At 44.6% G+C, this 23,802-nt stretch overlaps 1 non-coding gene across 1 annotated transcript; it reads right to left on the bottom strand.

Annotated features, from left to right (window-relative positions):
• TRC-GCA1-1 (tRNA-Cys (anticodon GCA) 1-1) lies at positions 11,380-11,451 on the bottom strand. The gene has a single exon. It is a non-coding gene; the product is annotated as a tRNA-Cys (tRNA).
• Between the last annotated feature and the right edge of the window lie 12,351 nt (positions 11,452-23,802).

Genomic DNA, 23,802 nt, shown 5'->3' with positions numbered 1-23,802 from the left:
TCGTAGAAAACCATAACATTGGCTATCTTGGAAAAGAGAAAAACAATGGAGTTACTTATAAAAAAAGAAGAAAGAAAGAAAAAGAAAGAAAGAAAGAGAGAAAGAGCGAAAGAAAAGAGAAAAGAAAAGAAAAAAGAAAAGCTATCTCTTCCCAGGAGAGGCTAGAAGTAGTTTTTCTGTCTTTTGGCCGGTGCCGAGTGGAATGCCTGGTTTCGGGGAGGAGGAGGGACTGGGTTCAGCTGTGGTGCTTTGTTGTAAAAGGCAGCCTGGCCTTTGCTACTGAGGAGAAAGATGGAGCCTGGGTCTCAAGCCCACCTTCTCTGTACCTTTGCCACACGGTACTGTATGCTTGCCGGCTAGAAGGAGGGTGAGGGATTTTTTACAGTCTGAGAATGAGTGTGTGTGAGTGAGGCGGTATCCACATTCTCAAGTTCAAGTCATTACAGTTTCTTTTTCCCAGAAAACAAGGGGTTAGATGTTGCATTTCATAAAACGAACCCAAGTTCTGTCTACTGGTGCAGCACAAGAGATGTAAAAAAAAACAAAAAAAAAAAAACACAGAGGAAAGACGCTCTTTAGGTTTTGTTTTTTTCGTTTTGTTTTGTTTTTTTTTTTTTTTTACTCTAGGGAAACACTGACGAATGGTCAGAGCTCCTATCCTGATCTTTTCAGTAAGGCGCCTTTCCTAATACTATGGTTCAACTGTGAATGTAGAAGTGAGGGGGAGGGGGGAGAAAAAGAAAACTCTGGCGTTAGAGAATATAGAAAAATGTAAGTACAATTGTTACAAATAGCGCAGACTTCAAAAACAAAAAAGTCACAAACCAAACCAAAATTTAAATGATCAGAATTGGCAGCACAAAGAAAACGCCCTCTCCTGACTTGTATTTTGGCAGTCTGAACGCCCCCAGAAAATTACGCCAAAGAGTTTAGAAAAATATACAATAAAAGTAAACACACACATACACACAAAACAGCAAACTTCAGATAACTACTTTGGATTGCAAACAGGATAAATTAAATGTTCAAACAATCTGATAAAATAACCATTTGGAAACTGGAAAAAAAAAATGTGTAGCACCTCCCCCGCCCCGCTTGCTCCTGCTCCAGCCACAGAAGTGCCTCCTTCCCCTTCACCTTCGGCCATTGTTGAAAGTTCCCTGAGGCCTCCCCAGAAGCCAAGCAGTGCTAGCATCATGCTTCCTGTACAGCTTGAAGAACTGTGAGCCAATCAAACCTCTTTTCTTTATAAATTATCCAGTCGCAGGTATTTCTTTATAGCAATGCAAGAACAGACTAATGCACAGACCAAACAAAATATTAAACCAGGCATGGAGAACCAGACAGAAGATAAATTCTGTAGAAACCAGAGTACTGAAACCAGAAGGACATTGTTCTTATACCAGAAATGGTTTGCCAGAAAAACAAAGTCTTCTGTCATCCCAGGACAGATGCAAAGTTCTTTATTGAGGTGGCCTTATAACCAAATCAGAACATGAATAAAATAAAAAAGAACTCACCAAAGACAGGGAGTCCAAAAACTCGAGATTCACCAGGGCAGAAAAGGTAACTGACAGAAGCAGAGTGCAAAGAGCTCAGGTGGTACCACACTTGATTCCGGAGCCACCAACCCATTCAAGCTGAGCTCACTTCAGTCCCACTCGAGACACCATTTTGTCAAACTAAGAAATACAGAGGGACACTCTAAAAATTCTGCTTATTGGAAACAGAGCATTGCAATGGGGATATGTGTGCCATAGTAACTATGTGTGTATTCACGGAGGTAAAGACAAAGGTTTTTAATGAAAAAAAGTAAGGCGAATTATATAATTGCTTTCAGACAATTATCCTTGGCACTAAGGATCAACAATAAGAGGGTGCCAGTCCAAGATTAGCAGTTTCTGGACAGACGTTCTCACAAAAGTATATTTTGTGTGTGTAAGGTTGCAATTACCTTTGTGGAACCTGTGGGTTTTGCAGTCTTCTGTGATAGTCCTTCTTATCAGGCACTGGTGCGGAGAACCCTCCCTCGTGCCCTTCCCCAACTCTATTTGTAAGGGTTTTTTAACGCAAGTGATTCCATTTTGATTCTGACAACTGTTGCATATTCAACTACAATAGAAGATGAGAAGGGCATGTTGAGGATTTGAGAAGAGAATAGAAGAGGCAAAATAGCCGTCTCAGGAGGTGATAAGGCAAGAGTATTACATAAACTAACAGGCTTGCCTGGAAATGTTAAGTGCCAAGTAGCGGTCTCAGGTGAGTCTAGTCAACACAGTTGTATGGCTTTTCCCCAGCAATGACCTGCTGTCTCAGATTCCTGGGATCTATAGACATGGCTGCAGCTGGTGCACTGTTCCAAGGAGGGAGGAGGGAGAATGGGCACTTCCATGCATCCAGGAGGGTACTTGCCACACTGCTATGAGCTGCTGTTGAGACTGGGATGCAAGCGCACTGCACTCTCCACAGCTTCTTGCTCACACTGCTTGCCTGGGTGGTGCCCCATTCTCTCTCTGGTCCTAGGCCCAAGATGCCATTTTGAGGGTGTAACACTGGGTTGGGCCCCGCCTTCAGCCTGAATTTAAACTGATGTGGCCGTGGCCACTACCCAGCTGAGGGACAAGGAAGCCAGACTCTCCTATGCATACCTAGAACAATAGCCAGTGCCCTGCCACAGGTTTCTGTGAGACTGAGAGGCAAGCAAACCACACTCCCCACAGCTTTTTTCCATGCTTTCCTGAGAGGGGCTCCACCCTCTCCAGTCACAAGCTCACAGCTGGCACCATTTTGAGAGTTTAGAGACATTATTTGGCAACATGGCAGCAGTGGCCATAACAGGCATTTTAGTCTCAGGCTAGACATTGGAGCACTTGCTTTGGAATGGGGGAAAAGCCCTCCACAGCCAGAATTGAGCAGCAAACATGGAGGTGCCCAGCAGTAGGTGCAGGAATTAGGCTCTCTCCCGTTGCAGGGCTGCAGCAGGAGGAGAGCTGCTGAAGCCATGGTTTCTCCTGGGTGGCAAGACTGGCAGCCAGGGGCAGTTTTGTGACGTGGAACCAGTCTGCATGTGTCATTGCTGGGTGCCCCAGCCTACTCTCTTGGTCAGTTGGGGGAAAGTGCCCCACCACCATTTGAGAAGCTAGAGGGCAGTGCACTCCACTCCCGTGGAAATCTAACTCTTGGCATGGTCCCCTCTAAGAAGGTGGGGAGCACAGAATGTCAAAGCCACCCTTAGGTCAAAGGAAATGCAAGCACCATGCTAACTTCTGTAGGAGGCACACCAAAGCCCGGAACAGACATCAAGAGGGGGTCATCTCTTATCCCTGGTGCCCCTCCTCGGTGCACTGTTGCCTACTCAGCAGCGGCTCCTCCTGTTGGGGTAGAAAGAGACAGCTTCTCCCGTTGCTCCACCCCACTGAAGATGAATGCATGCCTGAAGAGGGCGCTCTTTTCATTTTTCCATTGCCTGTACTCCCACTCCTCCCTGTCGGCTCTTACTCTTAAGCGCACCTACTAGACTGCAGCCTGACTTACACCACCAAGCAAAATTACATCACTACTACAAGCAACATCTGAGAAAGCTACCTATCTGCATCCAAGAAACAATACAGAGCCTTGGTATCCTGGAAGCACCCAGAAACATAGCCAACCAATCAATCACACACAATATACACCAGAGTCATACCCCTAAGGGATAAAAGAATAAAATATCAAGAACCTCCACCTAAATGATAGCAAATTTAAAAAAAAAAAAAAAGCATCAGCTCTCTCAGCTGAAAAGGAGCCAGCACAAGAACTCTGGCAATACAAAAAGCCAGGGTGTTTCATCACCTCCAAAGTATCCCACCAGCTTCTAAGCAATGGATCCTAACCAGAATGAAATGTCTGAAATGACAAATATAGAATTCAAAATATGGATGGCAAGGAAACTCAATGAGATCCAAGAGAAAGTTGAAATCCAACACAAAGAAGCCAGAAAAACCATCCAAGATTTGAAAGAAGACATAGCTATATTAAGAAAGAACCAAACAAAACTTCTGGAATTGAAAGACTCCCTACAGGAATTTCAAATTACAGTTGGAAGCCTTAACAACAGACTTGGCCAAGCAGAATAAAGAATTTCAGAGCGCAAAGACCACTCTTTTGACTCAACCCACACATATTTTTTAAGTATTCTTTTTAAATGAACAAAGCCTTCAAGAAATATGGGATTGTGTAAAGCAACCAAATCTATGACTTACTGGCATTCTTGAGAGAAAAGAAGAAAAAGTAAGCAATGTGGAAAACATATTTGAGGGTATAATTCAGGAAAACTTCCCCAATCTTGCTAGAGAGATTGACAGGCAGATATAAGAAATCTAGAGAACTCTTGCGAGATACTACACAAGACAATCATCCCCCAAGCACATAGTCACCAGACTATCCAAGGTCAAAGGGAAAGAAAAAAAAAATCTTAATGGCAACTAGAGAAAAGGGTTATATTACTTCTAAAGGAAAACCCATCAGACTAACAGTGGACTTCTCAGCATAAACCTTACAAGCCAGAAGAGACTGGGGGCCCATTTTTAGCATTCTTAAAGAAAAAGAATGCCAGCTAAGAATTTTATATCCCACCAAAGTAAGCTGTGTAAACGAAAGAGAAATAAAGTCTTTCTCAGATAAGCAATTGCTAAGGGAATTTGTCACCACCAGACTGACCCAACAAGAGATGCTTAACAGAGTTCTAAACATGGAAACAAAAGAATGAAATTTGCCTCCACAAAGGCACATGCAAGCACATAGCCCACAGACTGTATAAAGCAACTACACAATTGAAACTACAAAGCAACTAAATGGCAATGCTATGACAGGAACAAAACCTCACATATCAACATTAATCTTGAAAGTAAACTGCCTAAACACTCTACTTAAAAGGCATAGAGTAGCAAATCAGATTTTTAAAAAAACAAGACCCTTCCTCTGCTGTCTTTAAGATACCCATCTCACATGTAATGACACCCACAGCCTTAAAGCAAAGGGACTGAGAAAGATCTATGATGTAAATGGAAAACAAAAAAAGAACAGAAGTCACTATTCTTCTATCAGATAAAATTGATTTTAAACTAACAAGAGTAAAGAAGGACATTATATAATGATAAAGGATTCAATTCAACAAGAAGGCTTAACCATCCTGGCCCAGGCACGGTGCCTCACGCCTATAATCCCAGCACTTTGGGAGGCGAGGTAGGTGGATTGCTTGAGGCCAGGAGTCGAGACCAGCCTGGCCAACATGGTGAAACCCCATCTCTACTAAAAAATACAAAAATTAGCCAGGTATGGTGATGCATGTCTGTAATCCCACCTACTCAGAAGGCTGAGGCAGGAGAATTACTTGAACCCAGGAGGTGGAGGTTGCAGTGAGCCAAGATCATGCCACCACACTCCAGCCTGGGCAACAGAGTGAGACTCCATCTCAGAAAAAAAAAAAGTCTTAATTATCCTAAGTATATATTCCCCCAACATTGGAGCACCCAGATTTATAAAACAATTACTTCTAGACCTAAGAAAAGATTTTGACAACCATGTAATAATTGTGGTGACTTCAACACCCCACTGACAGAATTAGGTCAGGGAGGTAGAAAACTAACAGAGAAATTCCAGACTTCAATTTGATACTTGACCAATTAGATCTAATAGATGTCTGCAGAACACTCCACCCAAATTACCACAGAATGTACATTCTTCTCTTCTGCACATGGGACATACTCTAAGATTGACCAGGTGCTTGGTCATAGAGCAAGTCTCACAAAATTCTAAAACCTCAAAATTATACCAAGCATCTTCTCAGACCACAGTGGAATAAAAATAGAAATAAATATCCAGAGGAACTCTCAAAACCACACGAATACACAAAAACTAAACAACTTGCTCCTGAATGACTTTTTTGTAAACAACATAATTAAGGCAGAAATTTAAAAATTATCTGAAACAAAGAAAGTAGAGACACACCATACCAAAACTTCTGGGATGCAGCAAAAGCAGTATTAAATGCCTATATAAAGAAGATAGAAAGATCTTACATTAAAAACTTAAACTTGCGCCTAAAGGAACTAGAAAAACAAGAACAAACTACACCCAAAGCTAGCAGAAGAAAAGATAACCAAAATCAGAGCAAAACTAAATGAAATTGAGACCCCAAAAAACCATAAAAAGAAACAAGAAAACCAAAAATTGGTAATTTGAAAGGATAAACAAGATTGATAGACTGCTAGCTAAAGTAACAAAAGAAAGGCCGGACGCAGTGGCTCACGCTTGTAATCCCAGCACTTTGGGAGGCCAAGGCGGGCAGATCACGAGGTCAGGAGATTGAGACCACGGTGAAACCCTGTCTCTAATAAAAATACAAAAAAATTAGCCGGGCGTGGTGGCGGGCGCTTGTAGTCCCAGCTACTCGGAGAGGCTGAGGCAGGAGAATGGCGTGAACGCGGGAGGTGGAGCTTGCAGTGAGCCGAGACTGCGCCACTGCACTCCAGCCTGGGTGTCAAAGCAAGACTCCGTTTCAAAAAAGAAAAAAAAAGAAAAAAGAGAAGATCCAAATAAGTACAACCAGAAATGACAAAGGAGACATCACAACTGATCTTACAGAAATACAAAAGGTTCTTAGAGACTACTATGAGCATCTTTTTGCACACAAACTAGAAAATCTAGAGGAAATGGATAACTTCCTGGAAACACACAACATCCCAAGAGTGAACCAGGAAGAAACAGAATTCCTGAACAGGCCAATATCAAGTAATGAAATTAAATAAGTAATTAAAAACCTACCCAAAAAATCCCCTGGACCAGATGGATTCACAGCCAAATTCCACTAGATGTACAAAGAAGAGCTAGTACCAATCCCAATGAAACAATTCCCAAAAATTCAGGAGGAGGAACACCTCCCTAACTCATTCTATGAAAACAGTATCACCCTGATACCAAAATCTGGCAAAGATACAACAAAAAAATAAAACTATAGACCAATATTATTCCTGATGAACACAGACACAAAAATCCTCAACAAAATAATATCGTACTGAATTCAGCAACACATCAAAAAGCTAATTCACCACAATCAAGAGGGCTTTATTCATGGGGTGCAAGAATGGTTCAACATATGCAATCGATAAATGTGACTCAACACATAAACAGAATTAAAAACAAAAGCCATATGATCATCTCAATAGATGCAGAAAAAGGCATTTAGTATAATCCAACATCCCTTCATGACAAAAACCTTCAATAAACTAGGTATCAAAGGAACATACCTCAAAATAATAAGAGTCATCTCTGACAAACCCACGTCAATGTTATACTGAATGGGCAAAAGTTGGAAGCATTCCCCGTAAGAACTGGAGCAAGACAAGGATGTTCATTATCACCACTCCTATTTAACATAATACTGGAAGTCCTAGCCAGAGCAATCACTCAAGAAAAGGCAACCAAATAGGAAAAGAGGAAGTCACATTATTTCTCTTCACTGACAATATGATTCTATACCTGGAAAACCCTAAAGATTCTACCAAAAGACTCCTAGACCTGATAAACTACTTCAGTAAAGTTTCAGGACACAAAATCAACATGCAAAAATCAGTAGCATTTCTATACACCAACAACATTCCAGCTAAGAGCCAAATCAGGAATACAATCCCATTTATAATAGCCACACATGCAAAAATACATCTAGCCAAGGAGTTGAAAGATCTCTACAAAGAGAACTACAAAATACTGTTAAAAGAAATCAGATGACACAAACAAATGGAAAAAATATTCCATCTTCATGGATTGGAAGAATCGATATCATTAAAATGGCCATACTGCTCAAAGTAATCTACAGATTTAATGTTATTCCTATCAAATTACCAACATCATTTTTCACAGAATTAGAAAAAACTATTCTAAAATTTATATGGGGCCAGGTGTTGTGGCTCATGCTTATAATCCCAGCACTTTGGGAGGCTGAGGTGGGTGGATTGCTTGAGCCCAGGAGTGTCAGGCCAGCCAGGGCAACATGGTGAAACCGCATCTCTACAAAAACTACAAAAATTAGCTGGACATGGTTGTGTGCACCTGTAGTCCCAGCTACTCAGGAGGCTGAGGTGCAGGGATCACTTGAGCCCAAGAGGTGGAGGTTGCAGTGAGCCAAAATTTTGCCACTGCCCTCCAGCCTAGGCGACAGAGCAACACCCTGTCTTAAAAATAAATAATAAATAAATAAATGTAACTTAATTCATATGGAACCATAGAAGTGCCCAAGTAGCCAAAGCAATCCTAAGTAAAAAGAGCAAAGGTGGAGGCATCACATTACCCAACTTGAAACTATGGTATAGGCTACAGTAACTAAAATGGCACAGTACTGGTACAAAAATAGACACATAGCCCAATGGAACAGAATAGAGACCACTGAAATAAAGCCACCTGTATAACCAATTGATCTTCAGCAAAATAGTTTTTTTTTTAATGGGGAAAGGATAGCCTATTCAGTAAGTGGTGCTGGGAAAACTGGCTAACCACATGCAGAAGAATGAAACTGGACCCCTACCTCTCGCCATAAACACAAATTAACTCAAGATGGATTAAATACTTAAATGTCTTATTCTAGAAGAAAACCTAGGGAATACTCTTCTAGACATTGACCTAGGCAGAGAGTTTATGACTAAGTCCTCAAAAGCAAATGCAACAAAAACAAAAAATTGACTAGTGGGACCTAATTAAACTAAAGAGTTTCTGCACAGCAAAAAACAAAAACAAAAACAAAAAAAAACTATTAACAGAGTAGACACGCTACCAAACGGGGAAAAATATTTGCAAACTATGCATCCAACAAGGGTCTAATATCCAGAATCTATGAGAAACAGAAATCAATAAGAAAAAGACAAATAACTGCATTAAAAAGTTGGCAAAGGACATGATCAGACACTTCTCAAAAGAAGACATACAAGTAGCCAACAAACATGTTTTTTAAATGCTCAACATTATTAATCATCAGAGAGATGCAAATAAAAACTACAATGAGATACCATCTCACACCAATCTGAATAGCTATTATTAAAAAATTTTTAAATAACAGATGTTGACAAGGTTGCAGAGAAAAAGGAATGCTTATACACTATTGGTGGGAAGGTAAATTAGTTCGGCCCCTGTAGAAAGCAATTTGGAGATTTCTCAAAGAACTACAAATAGAATTACCATTCAACCCAGCAATCCCACTACTGGGTATATACCCAAAGGAAAATAAATCGTTCTGCCAAAAAGACACCTTCACTTGTATGTTTATCACAGCACTATTCACAATAGCAAAGACATGGAAGGCCGGGTGCAGTGGTTTATGCCTGTAATCCCAGCACTTTGGGAGGCCAAGGCAGGCAGATCACCTGAGGTCAAGAGTCAAAGGCCAGCCTGGCCAACACGATGAAACCCTGTCTCTACTAAAAATACAATACTTAGCCGGGATGATGGCAGGTGCCTGTAATCCCAGCTACTTGGGAGGCTGAGGCGGGAGAATTGCTTGAACCTGGGAGGGAGAGGTTGCAGTAAGCCAAGATCGTGCCACTGCACTCCAGCCTAGGGGACAGAGCAAGACTCTGTCTCAAAAAAAAAAAAAAGACATGGAATCAACCCAGGTGCCCATCACCAGTGATAGGATAAAGAGAATATGGGGCCAGGCATGGTGGCTCATGCTTATAATCCCACACTTTGGGTGGCCAAGGCAGGAGGATCTCTTGAGTCCAGGAGCTTGAGACCAGCCTGGTCAACACAGTGATACCCCCATCTCTACAAAAAATTTTTTAAAATAGCCAGGCATGGTGGTGCATGCCTGTAGTCCCAGCTACTCAGAAGCCTGAAGTGGGAGGATTGCTTGAGCCCAGGAGGTTGAGGCTGCAGAGACCCATGATTGCCATGATTGTACCACTGCACTCCAGCCTGGGTGACAAAGCAAGGCCTTGTCAAAAAAAAATGTGGTACATATATAACATGGAATACTACAGAGTCACAAAAAAAAGAATGAAATCACATCATTTGCAGCAACATGGATGCAGCTGGAGGCCATTATCCTAAGTGAGTTAACACAGAAACAAAAAACCAAATACCACATGTTCTCACTTATAAGTGGGAGCTAAACATTAGATACACATGGACAGAGAGATGGGAACAATAAGCATTGGGGAATCCAAAAGGGGAGAGGGAGGGAGGGGGAGAAGGGTTAATAAACTACCTGTTTGGCAATGGGATCATTAGAAGCCCAAACATCAGCATTACTCAATATACCCATGTAACAAATCTGTACACGTACCCCTTGAGTTTAAAATTTAAAAATTTTTAAAAAGGTCATCACTAGTTCGTGTATTCAACAAACATTTATTGAGCTCCTGCCTGTTCCAATCTGTGTCATGTTCTGTGAACCCCTAGCTGATGAAGACTTTGTTTTGGCAGTCAAGGAGCTCCTGGGCCAGAGAACTGTTCCCACTGCAGATATATACGGAGTACCCAAGGGACAACATGATCATCATCCTAGTCTCAGGCCTCCAGGAGAGGTCTCTGCACGCCAGGCCAACAGCTCTTTTGAGCTTGAGCTTATGTGCAGACCAGCAAAGAAAAATTTTCTTGTTGATATCTTTGTCCACAGCATGGGGGAAGGGAAAGAGAAGTGTATTTGTTTGTTCTCACACTGCTATAAAGACATACCTGAGACTGGGTAATTTATAAAGAAAATAGGTGTAATTGGCTCACAGTTCTGTGGGATGTACAGGCTTCTTCTGGGAAGGCCTCAGGAAACTTACAATCATGGCAGAAGGGGTGTGAGAAGCAAGCACATATTCACATGGCCGGCAGGAAAGAAAGAGAGTAAAGGGGGAAGTGCTACACACTCTCAAACAACCAGATCTCATGAGAACTCACTCGCTATCACAAGAACAGCAAGGGAAAAATCTGCCCCATAATCACCCCCCACTAGATCCCTACCCCAACACTGGGGATTACAATTCAACAAGAGATTTGGGTGACAACACAGAACCAAACCATATCAAGAGATTGCAAGGGCTTTGGGACTAGACCTTCAGTGAGGCTAATTGTTGAGAAGGAACAATACTCAGTCCAGCTCTGCTCAGCACATCATTATTGCAGTGGTCTAGCATCTCTTCCTGTCTTCTCCTCCAACTCAGACATTGCTGGGCCAAACTAGGTATTTTTTTTCAGATTTCAGCCTGACCATATCACTCCCTCTGGTGGACAGTTGTTGATTCTTTTTACCCAGCATCCATTTCTCCCTCTTCTTAAGCTTCTTTCATTGTTTCTCCTTCATCTCCTTTTTTGTCTCAAATACTGTCTCCCAAAAGATGCATTCTAGAAGTGAAGAAAACTAGGGGGCACCTGGATTTGAACCAGGGACCTCTTGATCTGCAGTCAAATGCTCTACCACTGAGCTATGCCCCCTGCTGCCATTATGTTTCCTATTAATATTATTTCAGCTTTGGAATCGTGTTGTATTAACATGATGGTAAGTGGCAGAGATTAAATTTCAGCTGATAGAAAATAAAATATAATGTAAATATCAGACAAGAAGCTGACTTCCAGGAACTCAAATGTTCTCAGGACTCTCTCCCTGTAGCTTTATTCTTTGGTTCCCTCTTAAGTTAGTTTTAATGTCTCAAACCCAACTCTCCACGCAGCTGAGACCCTGCCTCCAACATTTGTAGGTTCATAGCTCCACACTTTGATTGCCAGAGAGAAAAAGACTTGAGTCTAAAAAATTCTAGAGAAGGACTGTGGTTGGTTTGGCTTGGGTTCTGTGCCTATCCATGAGCAGCCACTGCCACCAAGGATTAAGATATGTAAGGGGTATAACCATTTCAGGAGTAAGGTCTTCTAAGAATATATCTGCCTCCACTCAGAATATATGTCTATAGTATGAGGAGAAAAGTGGTTCTCTAAAAGAAGTCAGGAGTAGCCAGGACATGGCCATGGGGGACCATCACTGCAGCCCTAGGGGCCTCTCAGTATTCTCAGCAGAGTGGAACATATTAAGAAAGACTAGCAACCTACTGCCTCTGCTAAACAGAGCCATGGGAAGCCCTGCACAGCCAGATTCCTTGATGAGTTTCATGCATTAATTCAATGAGCACTAGTAGGTGCCTCCTGTGTCCCAGACTCTAACAACCACACAATTCCCGGCCTCAGGAGCTAAAAGTTTAGTGGAAATGCCTGTCATGGCAATTCATGATAATAGCTCTTGGAATACAGAGGAGAGGGTGTAAATTACACACCTGACCAAAACTAGGGTAATGGCATGTTCCCTATTCAAAATGGGCTTTGCGTTCTGAAGGGCTTACTTAAACAAGGCAGGTGGGAAGGAATTCCATGTGAAAATGGCAGCAAGAGCAATGGATTCAGGTGCAGCCTTGACAAGAAAGTTCAAGGATGGTCATTGCACAGTGTTGGGTGAGACAATGGGGGAGGATCTTAGAGAGGCATCGAGGCCCAAGGCCTACAGTACAGCAGGACCTCCTTGCAGAATTAATAGTCAACATGGGCCCTGAGTGTGACCCCACTGGAGAAAAGGACCCATAAGAACTGCTGATGTGTTGGGGCCACAGCTTAGGGCACTGGACTGTAGGTCAAGAAGTTGGGGTTCAAATCCAGGTGGCTTCTCCCTATTCTGGCTTTCGCACATGAATGCCTTCCCATATTTTTCATATTATAGCCCACTTAAGAGACGAACTCTGGTATTCAAGGGTGGTCTTCACTGTGCATGTTCGCCAAGAGGCAAGGTCCCTGCTTTGGATTGAATGGGTCACCTAAAAAGATACATTGAAACCCTAACCTCTGGTACCTGTGAACGGGACCTTATCTGGAAACAGGGTCTTTGCAGATATAATGAGCTCAAGATGAGGTCATTAGGGTGGGCCCTTATCCAATATCACTGATGTCCTTGTAAGAAGAGGAAAGGAGACAGACACAAACACAGAAAGAATATCATGGGAAGATGGAGGCAGAGACTGGAGCGAATGTCTGTAAGCCAAAAGCACCAAGGAGCAAGGCCACACCAGAAGCCGGGAGGAGGCAAGGAAGAGCTCTACCCAGCGTCTCCGAGGAAGCAGGCCTGACTGGCACCTCCACTTCTGACTTCTGGTCTCCAGAACTGTCCAAGAATAAACTGCTGTTGTTTCAAGCCACTCCATTTGTAATACCCTGTATGGCAGCCCTAGGGAATTAATACAGTCCCCACGCAGGGGGGCTACTTGGTCCCTGCATCCAGGGCAGGGACTGAAGAGAAAAGAGTGAAGCCGCCTGACTGGGCCTGATCACCTCCAGGCTGTGAAATTCCAGCTTCTCCAGCCTGGCTGGCCTGCGCAGATGTGGGGGTTCCTGGGATTGCTAGGGCTGCGGCCTCTCTGGCCACGAAATAAATAGCTTTCCCTGGAGACCTTGGCTCCCCAAGTAAGAGGGAGGGCTGAGTAAGGGAAGGGAAGGAAATAGCCCAGATCAGGAGAAAATAAGTGGACCTCACTGCATGTGGCGAAGTAGAGAACTGTTAGGAATGCTCCGTGAAGGCTGAGACGCACACACCACACAAAACCCCATTCCTTACCTATGAAGCCAGGAGGCTGGCCCAGACCCTCACAGGTCCTGTCCACCACCTCTCACCTGCAGGAAGCAAGTGAGGAGGAGGCCGCAGTGCTCTGGGAGCGGGGCGGAAAGGGCTGCTCCGCAGCGGGGTGGGAGTCCTTCGGTCCTCCTTACTGATGGTCCAGCTGGAGCCGTGAGTGTGGCCGCCTCCTTGAGTGCTAACTGAGACCTCTTTTCTCTTGGACCTGCCTAGGACTCTGTTTTGCCATTTGTTAAATGGGGATGTAAAAGCCCTACAGCGGGGCGCAGTGGTTCACACCAGTAATTCCAGCCTCCAGGCTGAGGCTGGAGGATTGCTTGAGCTCAGGAGTTTGAAACCAGCCTGGGCAACATGGCGAGACCCCAACCTCTACAAAAAAAATTTTTTTAGATTAACCGAGTGTGGTGGCATGTGCCTGTGGTCCCAGCTACTTGGGAGGCTGAGGAGGGAGGATTGCTTGAGCCTGGGAGGTTGGGGCTGCAGGGACCCATCATCACAGCACTGCATTCCAGCCTGGGCCACAGAACGAGACCCTACCTCAAAAAGAATAAAATAGAAGGTCCTACAATTGTGAGGATTAAATGAGAACCTTCATTTTTTTTTAACTTTTATTGTAGGTTTGGGGTACATGTGCATATTTGTTATATGGGTAAATTGCATATCGTGGGGGTTGGGTGCACAGACTATCTTGTCACCAAATAATAAGCATAGTACTCAATAGGTAGTTTTCTGATCCTCACCCTCTTCCCTCCCTCCACCCTCCAGTAGAACCTGGTGTCTGTTGTTCCCTTCTTTGTATCCATGTGAAGATGTTTAGCTCCCACTTCTAAGTGAGAACATCCAGTATTTGGTTTTCTGTTCCTTTGTTAGTTCACTTAGGATAATGGTCTTCAGCCCCATCTATGTTGCTGCAAAGGACATGATCTCATTCTTTTTTATGGCTGCATAGTATTCCAGGGTATACGTGTACCATATTTTCTTTATCCAGTCTAAATGAGAACCTCTACAGCAGGAATCAGCAAACCGTGGTCTGTCACGGGGCACAGCCCCACAGGCTACGAATGGATTTTACCCTTCTCAATGGCTTGGTTGGGGGGATGGGAAATGGGCCCTCATGGGACTTGGGGAAAAGTAAATGAAACAATTGTTGTTGTTTTTTAATGGCACAGAGTAAGTGTTCAATAAATATTTGCTGTTGCTTCAAAAAATATTTTGTGGCATGCAAAAATTATATGAAAATCAAATTTCAGCATCCATAAATAAAGTTTCCTTGGAACACAGCCACTCTGGTTCATTTCTTTGGTGTCTGTGGCTGCTTTCCTGTTAAAAAGGCAGAGCTGAGTGGTTGCCAACAGAGACTATTTTGCCTATAGAATAACAAACATGTACAATCTGGCCCTTTTCAGAACAAGAGTCTGACTCCAGGCTTACAGCCTTAGAGTGGTGCCTGACCCATAGCAAATGTTTCATAAACGATGGCTAGTGTTGTTATTGCAGCAGAGAGTAAGCACGGCTCACTGGAGAGCCTAGAGTTCCCTGCCTCCCATTCCAGTTTCCCTGACTTTCTGGCCTCATTCACAACAGCTGCAACCCCAGCTCCCTCTCCTCCTCCAGCCTCATTCTCCAAGACCTCCAGGTAAACTCCTTTAAGATGCTAAAAACTACAAAGTCTGATACCACACTAGGGATTCAGGGTGTATGGGGAACAGGCATGTTTCTGCGTTGTTGGTAGGAGTGTACACTGATACAACCTCTAAGGAGGCACCTGGCAAGAACTTTTGAAATGCTAAAAGCACATAACTTTGACCCAGGAATTACACTTCTAGAAACTAAGAGGTCTATAAACACAATTGTGAAATGATGTCTGCAAGGTTATTCTGTAGCCACATCATTTTAAATTATAAAACATTAGAAGCAACCTAATTGTCCCTCATCTGGGGACTGTTAAATAAATTACATACAGCCGTACAATTGAATGCCAGGCAACCCTTTACAAATGGGGATGCTCTTTATGTACTGATAGGGAAAGATTGCCAAGAAGAAACAGAAAAGCAAGCAAGGAAAATGTGTTTCCGCCATAGCCTGCTACTGTTTGTAGAGGGGAAGAAAAGGGGAGATGACATGTTTGCATTTATGTCATGAAAAAACTCTAGAAAGATCTACAAGAAACTGGGAACATCAATTGCTTGCGAGGAGGGGACATGGGTGGCTGGGGACAAGAGTGAGAGGAGATACCATTGTTTCTGTGCCACTGGAATTTTGAACCATGTAGATATATTATTGTGTCAATATTTTCTTACCTTTCTAAAAAGGAAGAGAATGTAACAAGAACAAAAACTCACCGGAGCCTAGGTGTCACCCCTTCTGTGATGGGGTCACACCTCATCTCCTTCTCTGCCCCCTTCCCATTGGGCCTCTATGTTCCCACACAAACATGTACCTTTTTTCCTAACAAAAAGTAAATATAAAATACTAAAACACCCACAATATTTTTTAAAAATACTAGGAGTGGCCGGACATGGTGGCTCATGCCTGTAATCCCAGCACTTTGCAAGGCCGAGGCAGGCGGATCACCTGAGGTCAGGAGTTCAAGACCAGCCTGGTCAACATGGTGAAACTCCGTCTCTACAAAAATACAAAAATTAGCCAGGCATAATGGCGGGTGCCTGTAATCCTAGCTACTCAGGAGGCTGAGGTGGGAGAATCACTTGAACCCAGGAGGCAGAGTTTGCAGTGAGCCAAGATGGCACCACTGCACTCCAGCCTGAGAGACAGAGTGAGACTTCGTCTCAAAAAAAAAAAAAAAAAACAGGAGTAATATGATTCCCAAACCCAGTTGTCTGTATATTATAATAAAATACAAATTAAAAAGGACACATACTTGCAATGTCCAGGAACCCTACGTTAAATTTCCCAAAACACTGACTCTAGCATGAGTGTAGTGATTTGTTTCTTACAGGCATCCCCGCTGGTCTAAGCCTTGGGGACCCTGCCTTACTTGCCTTGTAGCCCCATCACCTAACACATAGCACATGACTCGGGCTCAGCAAATATTTCTGGAAAGATAAAGGCCAATCCAAGCCCCTGGAGGGACGCCTTCTCCCGCCAGCAAAAAGAGTTAGTACCTCCTGGGGCCCACAGCGTTCAGCAAACCCCCAGGAGCATCCACACAGAGAAGAATCCTGTGGGGTGGTGCCGGCAGCCTCCACGCAGCCCGAAGGAAGCTGCAGCTGGTTCACCGTGTCCTATGAGCTGTTCACTCTCCAAAACATCAGCAATTGACCCACCATGAATCCACTCAGGCTGCCATAACAAGACGCCACAGACTGGATGGCTTCAACAACAGACATTTATTTTCTCACAGTCCTGGAGGCTGGAGGCCCAAGATCAAGGTGTCAGTGGTACTGGTTTCTCCTAAGGCCTCTCTGTGGTGTGCAGGTGGTCACGTTCTCACTGTGTCCTCACACGCCTTTCCTCTGTGTGTGCCCATCCTGGTGTCTTCCCCTTCTCATAAGGACGCCAGTCCTCTTACATTGGGGCCCCACCCTAACAGCTTCTTTTTAGCTTCATCACCTCTCTAAAGGCCTCATCTTTGAATATGGTTACATTATGAGGTACTGAGGTTTGGGACCTCAACATATAAATTTGTTGGGGGGTGGGGGTGGTGGCTCACACCTGTAATCCCAGCACTTTGAGAGGCCAAGGCGGGGCAGATCACTTGAGGTCAGATGTACGAGACCAGCCTGGCCAACACAGTGAAACCCTGTCTCTACTAAAAATGCAAAAATTAGCTGGGCGTGGTGGCACCCGCATGTGGCCTCAGCTACTGGAGAGGCTGAGGCAGGAAAATTGCTTCAGCCCAGGAGGCAGGGGTTGCAGTGAGTCGAGATTGTGCCATTGCACTCCAGCCTGGGCGTCAGAGCGAGCCTCCATGTCAAAAAAAAAAAAAGGGAGGGGGAAATAATTCAACCCATAATGCACACAAAATGAATCTGGTCATGCTGTTGCCTTCCAGAAACTTTTCTTGGTTACTGTTATGGACTGAATGTCTGTGTCCTCCAAAATTCATATGGTGAAGCCCTAATCCCCAAAGTGATATTGTTTGAAGGTAGGGCTTTTAGGAGGTAATTAGGTTTACATGAGGTCATGAGGGTGGGGCCCCAGGGTGGGATTAGTGCCCTTACATGAAGAGAGACCACATCTCCACATCTCTCTCTCTCTCTCTCCTTTTCTCTCCCACTCTCTCTCCCTCTCTCCCCAACATGTTGAGGATGTCTGCAAGCCAGAAGAAGAGCCCTAAGGAGAGCCAGGAGAGAATCTGCCCACATCTTGATCTTGGACTTCCAGCTTCCAGAACTGTGAGAAATAAATTTCTGTTGTTCAAGCTGCCTAGTCCATGGTATTTTGTTTTAGCAGCCCGGGCTGACCAATACCGTCAACACAGTACTTTTTGTTGTTGTTTTGTTTTTGTTTCTGCTTGTTTGTTATCTAGCACTAACATTTTAAGATGGCAAGGGTAAAATGGGATTTTCCACATTTTCAATCCTCTCCAACCCTTTTGGAAAGCAATTTTGGCAATATTGTATTTATTATATTGACTCAGTCATGCCACTTCTGAGAATCTATTTTAAATAAATAAACACCCATGAAAAATAAGAAACCTAAGATTATCACTGTATTATTTTTAATTTAAAACTAGAAAAAAAACTCTAAATGTCTAGTAGTAGGGGAATGGTTAACAGCATTCACTTAGTGGAATGTTATGTTGCCATTTGAAGAGATCAGGTAATGTTTATGAAGCATCTCCTCTGTGCCAGGCTCTGTGCTAAACAGGATAGATGCAGAGATGAAGAACATGGTGCTTGCTTTCAAAGAATTTACATTTTAGTAGAAACAGACACAAAACACTCATTTCATAATTCAAATATTTAGTAAGCACCTACTATGTGCCAGGCATTATTCTAGGTACTGGGCATCAAGCAGGAACAAAACAACATCCCCATTCTCATGGAGTAGATAATAATCAAACAGGCAGGGCACAGTGGCTCACGTCTGTAATCCCTGCACTTTGGGAGCAAGAGGCAGGAGGATCATATGAGTCCAGGAGTTCAAGACCAGCCTGGGCAACACGGTGGGACCCCATCTCTACAAAAAATTCAAAAATTAGCCAGGTGTGGTGGCATGTGCATGTGGTCACAGCTACTTGACAGCTGGGGCAGGAGGATTGCTTGAGCCCAGGAAGTTGAGGCTGCAGTGAGCTGTGTTTACACCACTGCACTCCAGGCTGGGTGGCAGAGGGAGACCCAGTGTCAAAAAATAAATAATTTTTTTAAAAAGATAATAATCAAATAATTAATGTCAGGTGCAAATCTGTGCTGTGAAGACACATAAGGCAGAGTGGGGGAAAGAGAAGGGGCCCCAGCAGCAAGTAGGGTGGTATTTTAGATGGAGCATTCAGAGGTGACATCTGCAAGTGATCTGAAAGGAGCGGGGAGCAAGCCATGCGAATGTCTGAAGGGAAGGGCTCTCGGGCAGAGGACCAGCGAGAGCAGAGGCCTGGAAGCATGGCCAGCGTGGCCAGGTAGAAAGATGGGCCGTTTACCCTGGCCATGAGGGAGGCCCCCAGTGGGCAGTGCAGGGAGCCAGGGGAAGGCCTGGCTGTGGAGCATGATGTTTGAGGCAGGATGGTAGCAGAGGTGGCGGCGGAGGTGGGTGGCTGAGGCCTTTGGACGGGATTCACGCCTTGGAGAGTCCCTGAAGACATTTACTCATTCTTTGAGACCGAGCACAAGCGTCATGCTCCTGTGAGCTCATCCCTGACTCTCTTGACGGCCAGTCTACCCTTCTCCCGGGTTCCCACATCAACGTGTAGTCTATTTCATTATTGCTGCTTTGTATTGGATTCGAGCCATTCAAGCCCTTCACACATCTAACGCATGCACGTTCACACACATCTCAGAGCATGGACTCTCACTGCAGATCCCGCATATTTGATATATCTAATGTACAGGACTTAGCATGGAAAATGCTACTGAAATGAATTATTGAATACATAAACTCACATCCCCCAACTGCACTGTGATTTCATAGTAAAAGAGCAGGACTCTGTCTGGAACTCCTGCTCTATTCAGCAGTGCCTGGAACAGGTGATACTAACACCTCTCAAGTACCACTTAGATCAGGAGCGCTTTATGGGCATGAACCTGTGCAGTGGCACAGAACCCCATGCTTAGAAAGACCTGAGTTTGCTATCATGCTCTGCTGTCGCCATCAGGAAACTCATAATCTTACCTTTGAACTTGTGTTTTGCAGGTGAAATCCAATAGGACAATGAGCATGTCAGGAGCAGAGATGAGCACAGCATGTTCCTTGCAGCCCAATTTGCATATAGAGTGCTTGTGGTGCCCCATTGCATTCCGAAGGCCCACAATGCATGGAGTCCAGCAAGACCCAATGGGATATACAAGGTAAGCACATTCCATCTATGACCGAGAAAGTAGGGTTCTGACAGCCCAAGAGGTCCTACTTTCCTTTGGGACCAGAACTTGGTTCAAATACAGAAAGAATACCATGGTGTATTAGTCCATTTTTACGCTGCTGCTAAAGACATACCCAAGACTGGGCAATTTACAAAAGAAAGAGGTTTAATGGACTTACAGTTCCGCATGGCTGGGGAGGCCTCACAATCACGGCAGAAGGCAAGAAGAAGCAAGTTACATCTTAGATGGTTTGGAGGCAAAGAGAAAGCTTGTGCAGGGAAACTCCAGTTTTTAAAACCATCAGATCCAGATCTCATGAGACTTATTCACTATCACTAGAACAGCACAGGAAAGCCCGCCCCCATGATTCAATTACTCCCACCAGGTTCCTCCCAAAACACATGGGAACTGTGGGAATTACAATTCAAGATGAGACTTGGGTGGGGACACAGCCAAACCATATCACATGGTGTTCTGAGAAACACAAGCAACCAAGGAAATGTATCAGACACTTTCTTCCCCATGCTACTCGTATTATCATACATGTGCTAGCCAATTACTTACTCTGAAAATGTTGGGCTAGAAGGAAGAAGAGAGGGCAGCCCATGGCTCCTTTTCCGTTAGTCCTTTGCTCCTGGTTATACTGAAGATAGAGAGTGTTGGTAGAACGGGCATGGAGCAGGAAGTGAAATGAAAACAATGAAGTTAGCTTTGGGCAGTTTCCACGGTTCTTGTAAGAATGAAACGCATATGCATGTGTGAACTACAAATATTGTTTACTTGTGTGGAATCATGTGATTTCAGTGATTCTGCATCCCAGTAAATGCTCTTCTATTTGCATTTAAAACTATCCGTTCATAATACAAAGATGAATGGTACACACGCTCATAATGTTTTTAATTTTTGTTTTACATTAACAATTAATGTTTTAACTTTTCTTTACTCAGAATGACAGTAAAGAGCAAACAAAAAACACTATGATAGGTCAAAAGAGAGAGTGTGGAAGAAAGGAAGAAGCTTAGTATTTTAGTACCCTCCATGGTACTTTCTTCCTGCCTTTGAATAAGGGGACCCACAGTTTGATTTTGCACTGGGCCCTGCAAATTATATAGCTGCCCAGATTCGGCTCGAAGCTGCAGTTGCCAGTGCCTGGTGTAGGGCAATGATAAAGATGAGGATAGTAAGGGGTCTGGCTTCCATTCACAACATGAACACTTTGCATAAATGAAACAGCGGGCTCAGGACAGCCAACCGCCAACTGAGACAAACTGAATACCAGAAGGTCATTAAGGGGCTTTGAAAGAGGCTCTTGGCCAGGTGCGGTGGCTCACGCCTGTAATCCCAGCACTTTGGGAGGCTGAGGCAGGCGGATCACGAGGTCAGGAGATCGAGACCATCCTGGCTAACACGGTGAAACCCCGTCTCTACTAAAAAAAGACAAAAAAATTAGTTGGGCATGGTGGCGGGTACCTGTAGTCCCAGCTACTGGGGAGGCTGAGGCAGGAGAATGGCGTGAACCCGGGAGGCAGAGCTTGCAGTGAGCCCAGATTGCGCCACTGCACTCCAGCCTGGGCGACAGAGTGAGACTCTCCGTCTCAAAAAAAAAAAAAAAGAAAAGAAAAAGAAAGAGGCTCTCACATCCTGTAGCCATGGAGCAGTCTGTGCAGAAGGCTGGAAGGAGACAAGGGACAGCAATGGGCTGCCCAGGTCAGAGTCAGAGTCCACATGGGACAGTGGGACATGGGGTCCAGGATGGGGAGATTTGGATAGACAAGTCTGAGAAATGGGGACCCCACCCCCACCCAATCTCCCTGCACTTTCCAGATGGTAAAGCAGGGCTGAGGGAGGAAAAGCTATTCTGTTTTCTCCTTATTCCTGCCAGGAGAAAGTGGAACAGCTGCCTCTCCCCTGGAGAACAAGTAATAGCCTCTCCTGGAGCAGGACCCAGCCTCGCCCTCCTCCTCAAAGCTGTGCCTCCACTGCCCCATTCGTCCTGGCCCAGTGGAGAAGCACAGTCTCCACCCCAGGAGTGTCCTAGGGCCACTGAAACAAAGGACCACACACTGCGGGGCTTAAAACAATGGAAATGTATTCCCTCACACTTCCAGAGGCTGCAAGTGTGGTATCAAGGTGCGAGGAAGGCCGTGCTCCCTCTGAAGACTCCAGGGGAGAACCTGTTCCACATCCCTCTCCTCGCTTCTGGTGTCACCAGCAACCACCCTTCCTTGACCTGCAGACACGTCCCTCCAAACTCACTCCACCATCACATGATGTCCTTCTGCATCTGTGCCCTTCACATGGCATTCTCCTCTTACATGGACACCAGCCATACTGGATTAAGGGCCCATCCTACTCCAGTGTGACCTCATCTTAACTTACATCTTAATTATATCTGCAAAACCCCTATTTCCAACCTAGGTCACACTTACAGGTACTGAAGATTAGGACTTGAGCATATCTTTGGGAGGACACAATTGAAACCACAACCCCAAGCCAGCTGCCATCAGAGCAACATGTAGCTCTGGATCATCAGGGACAGGATGGATGTAAGCTGGAGAGGGCACTGGTATGGACACCTTCCCCCAGGACTCTGGATTGTGCTCTAGGAAGGAGACCCGGAACAGGTCCTAATCATCTACTGACATGGCTCCTCGGAGCTTGGGCATGACAATGGCCTAGAGTAAAGGAAGTGGAAATTCTAGAAGGTGCGGTAATGAGGAAGGGATCAGGAAGCTCTTGAGGGAGGGAACTTGTCTTGGTTGGCTCAGGCTGCCATAACAACATATCCATACACTGGGCAGCTTAAACACCAGAAATTCATGGCAGTGCTGGAGGCTGGCAAGAGGGCACCAGCATGCCCAGGTCCTGGTGAGGACACTCTTCCACCCTCACATGACAGGGAGTTCTGGTGTCTCTTCCTCTTCCTGTAAGGGCACCAATTCCATCGTGAGAGCCCCACCCTAATAACCTCATCATCTAAGCCTAACTACCTTCCCTAATGGCCCCATCGCCAAATACCATCATACTAGAAGTCAGGCCTTCAACATATGAATTTGGGGAGGGGGAGGCAAAATTCAGCCCGTAGCAGAATCCTAGAATAAATTTGCTACATGAGACAAGAGGACCTAAAGGACCAGAGGATCCTCCCTGCAATAGATGCCTCACCTTATTAAGGTGAGGGAGGCTCAGGTGTCTCAGGGTGATTTGTCTGTAGCTGGGGTTGATGATGGGAGCTGCTGTCACAAAACTGACCTCCCTGGTGCCAAGAGAAATGATGGGATTCCAAATTCAAGAGCTGTCTAGGATGTGATGTATTGGTGGCCCATCTTGATAGGACCCAATGCTGTTCTTGGTTCACTTTTACACTTCTAGGACCTTTGTTAAAAATGAATCATTGGCCAGGCATGGTGGCTCATGCCTGTAATCCCAACACTTTCAGAGGCCAAGGCAAGCAGATCACAAGGTCAGGAGTTCGAGTGAAACTCGTCTCTACTAAAAATACGAAAATTAGCTTGATATGGTGGCACGTGCCTGTAATCCCAGCTACTCAGGAGGCTGAGGCAGGAGAATTGCTTGAATCCAGGAGGTGGAAGTTGCAGTGAGCTGAGATGGTGCCACAGCACTCTAGCCTGGGCGACAAAGCAAGACTCCGTCTCAGGGGGAAAAAAAAAAAAGAATCATTTGGCTGGGCACAGTGGC

Source organism: Homo sapiens, chromosome 7 (genome assembly GCF_000001405.40).
Source record: "Homo sapiens chromosome 7, GRCh38.p14 Primary Assembly".
In the NCBI taxonomy this organism is placed as follows: Eukaryota; Metazoa; Chordata; class Mammalia; order Primates; family Hominidae; genus Homo; species Homo sapiens.
Note: the sequence above shows the minus strand (reverse complement) of the source record. Positions and strands in the feature narration are given on the sequence as shown.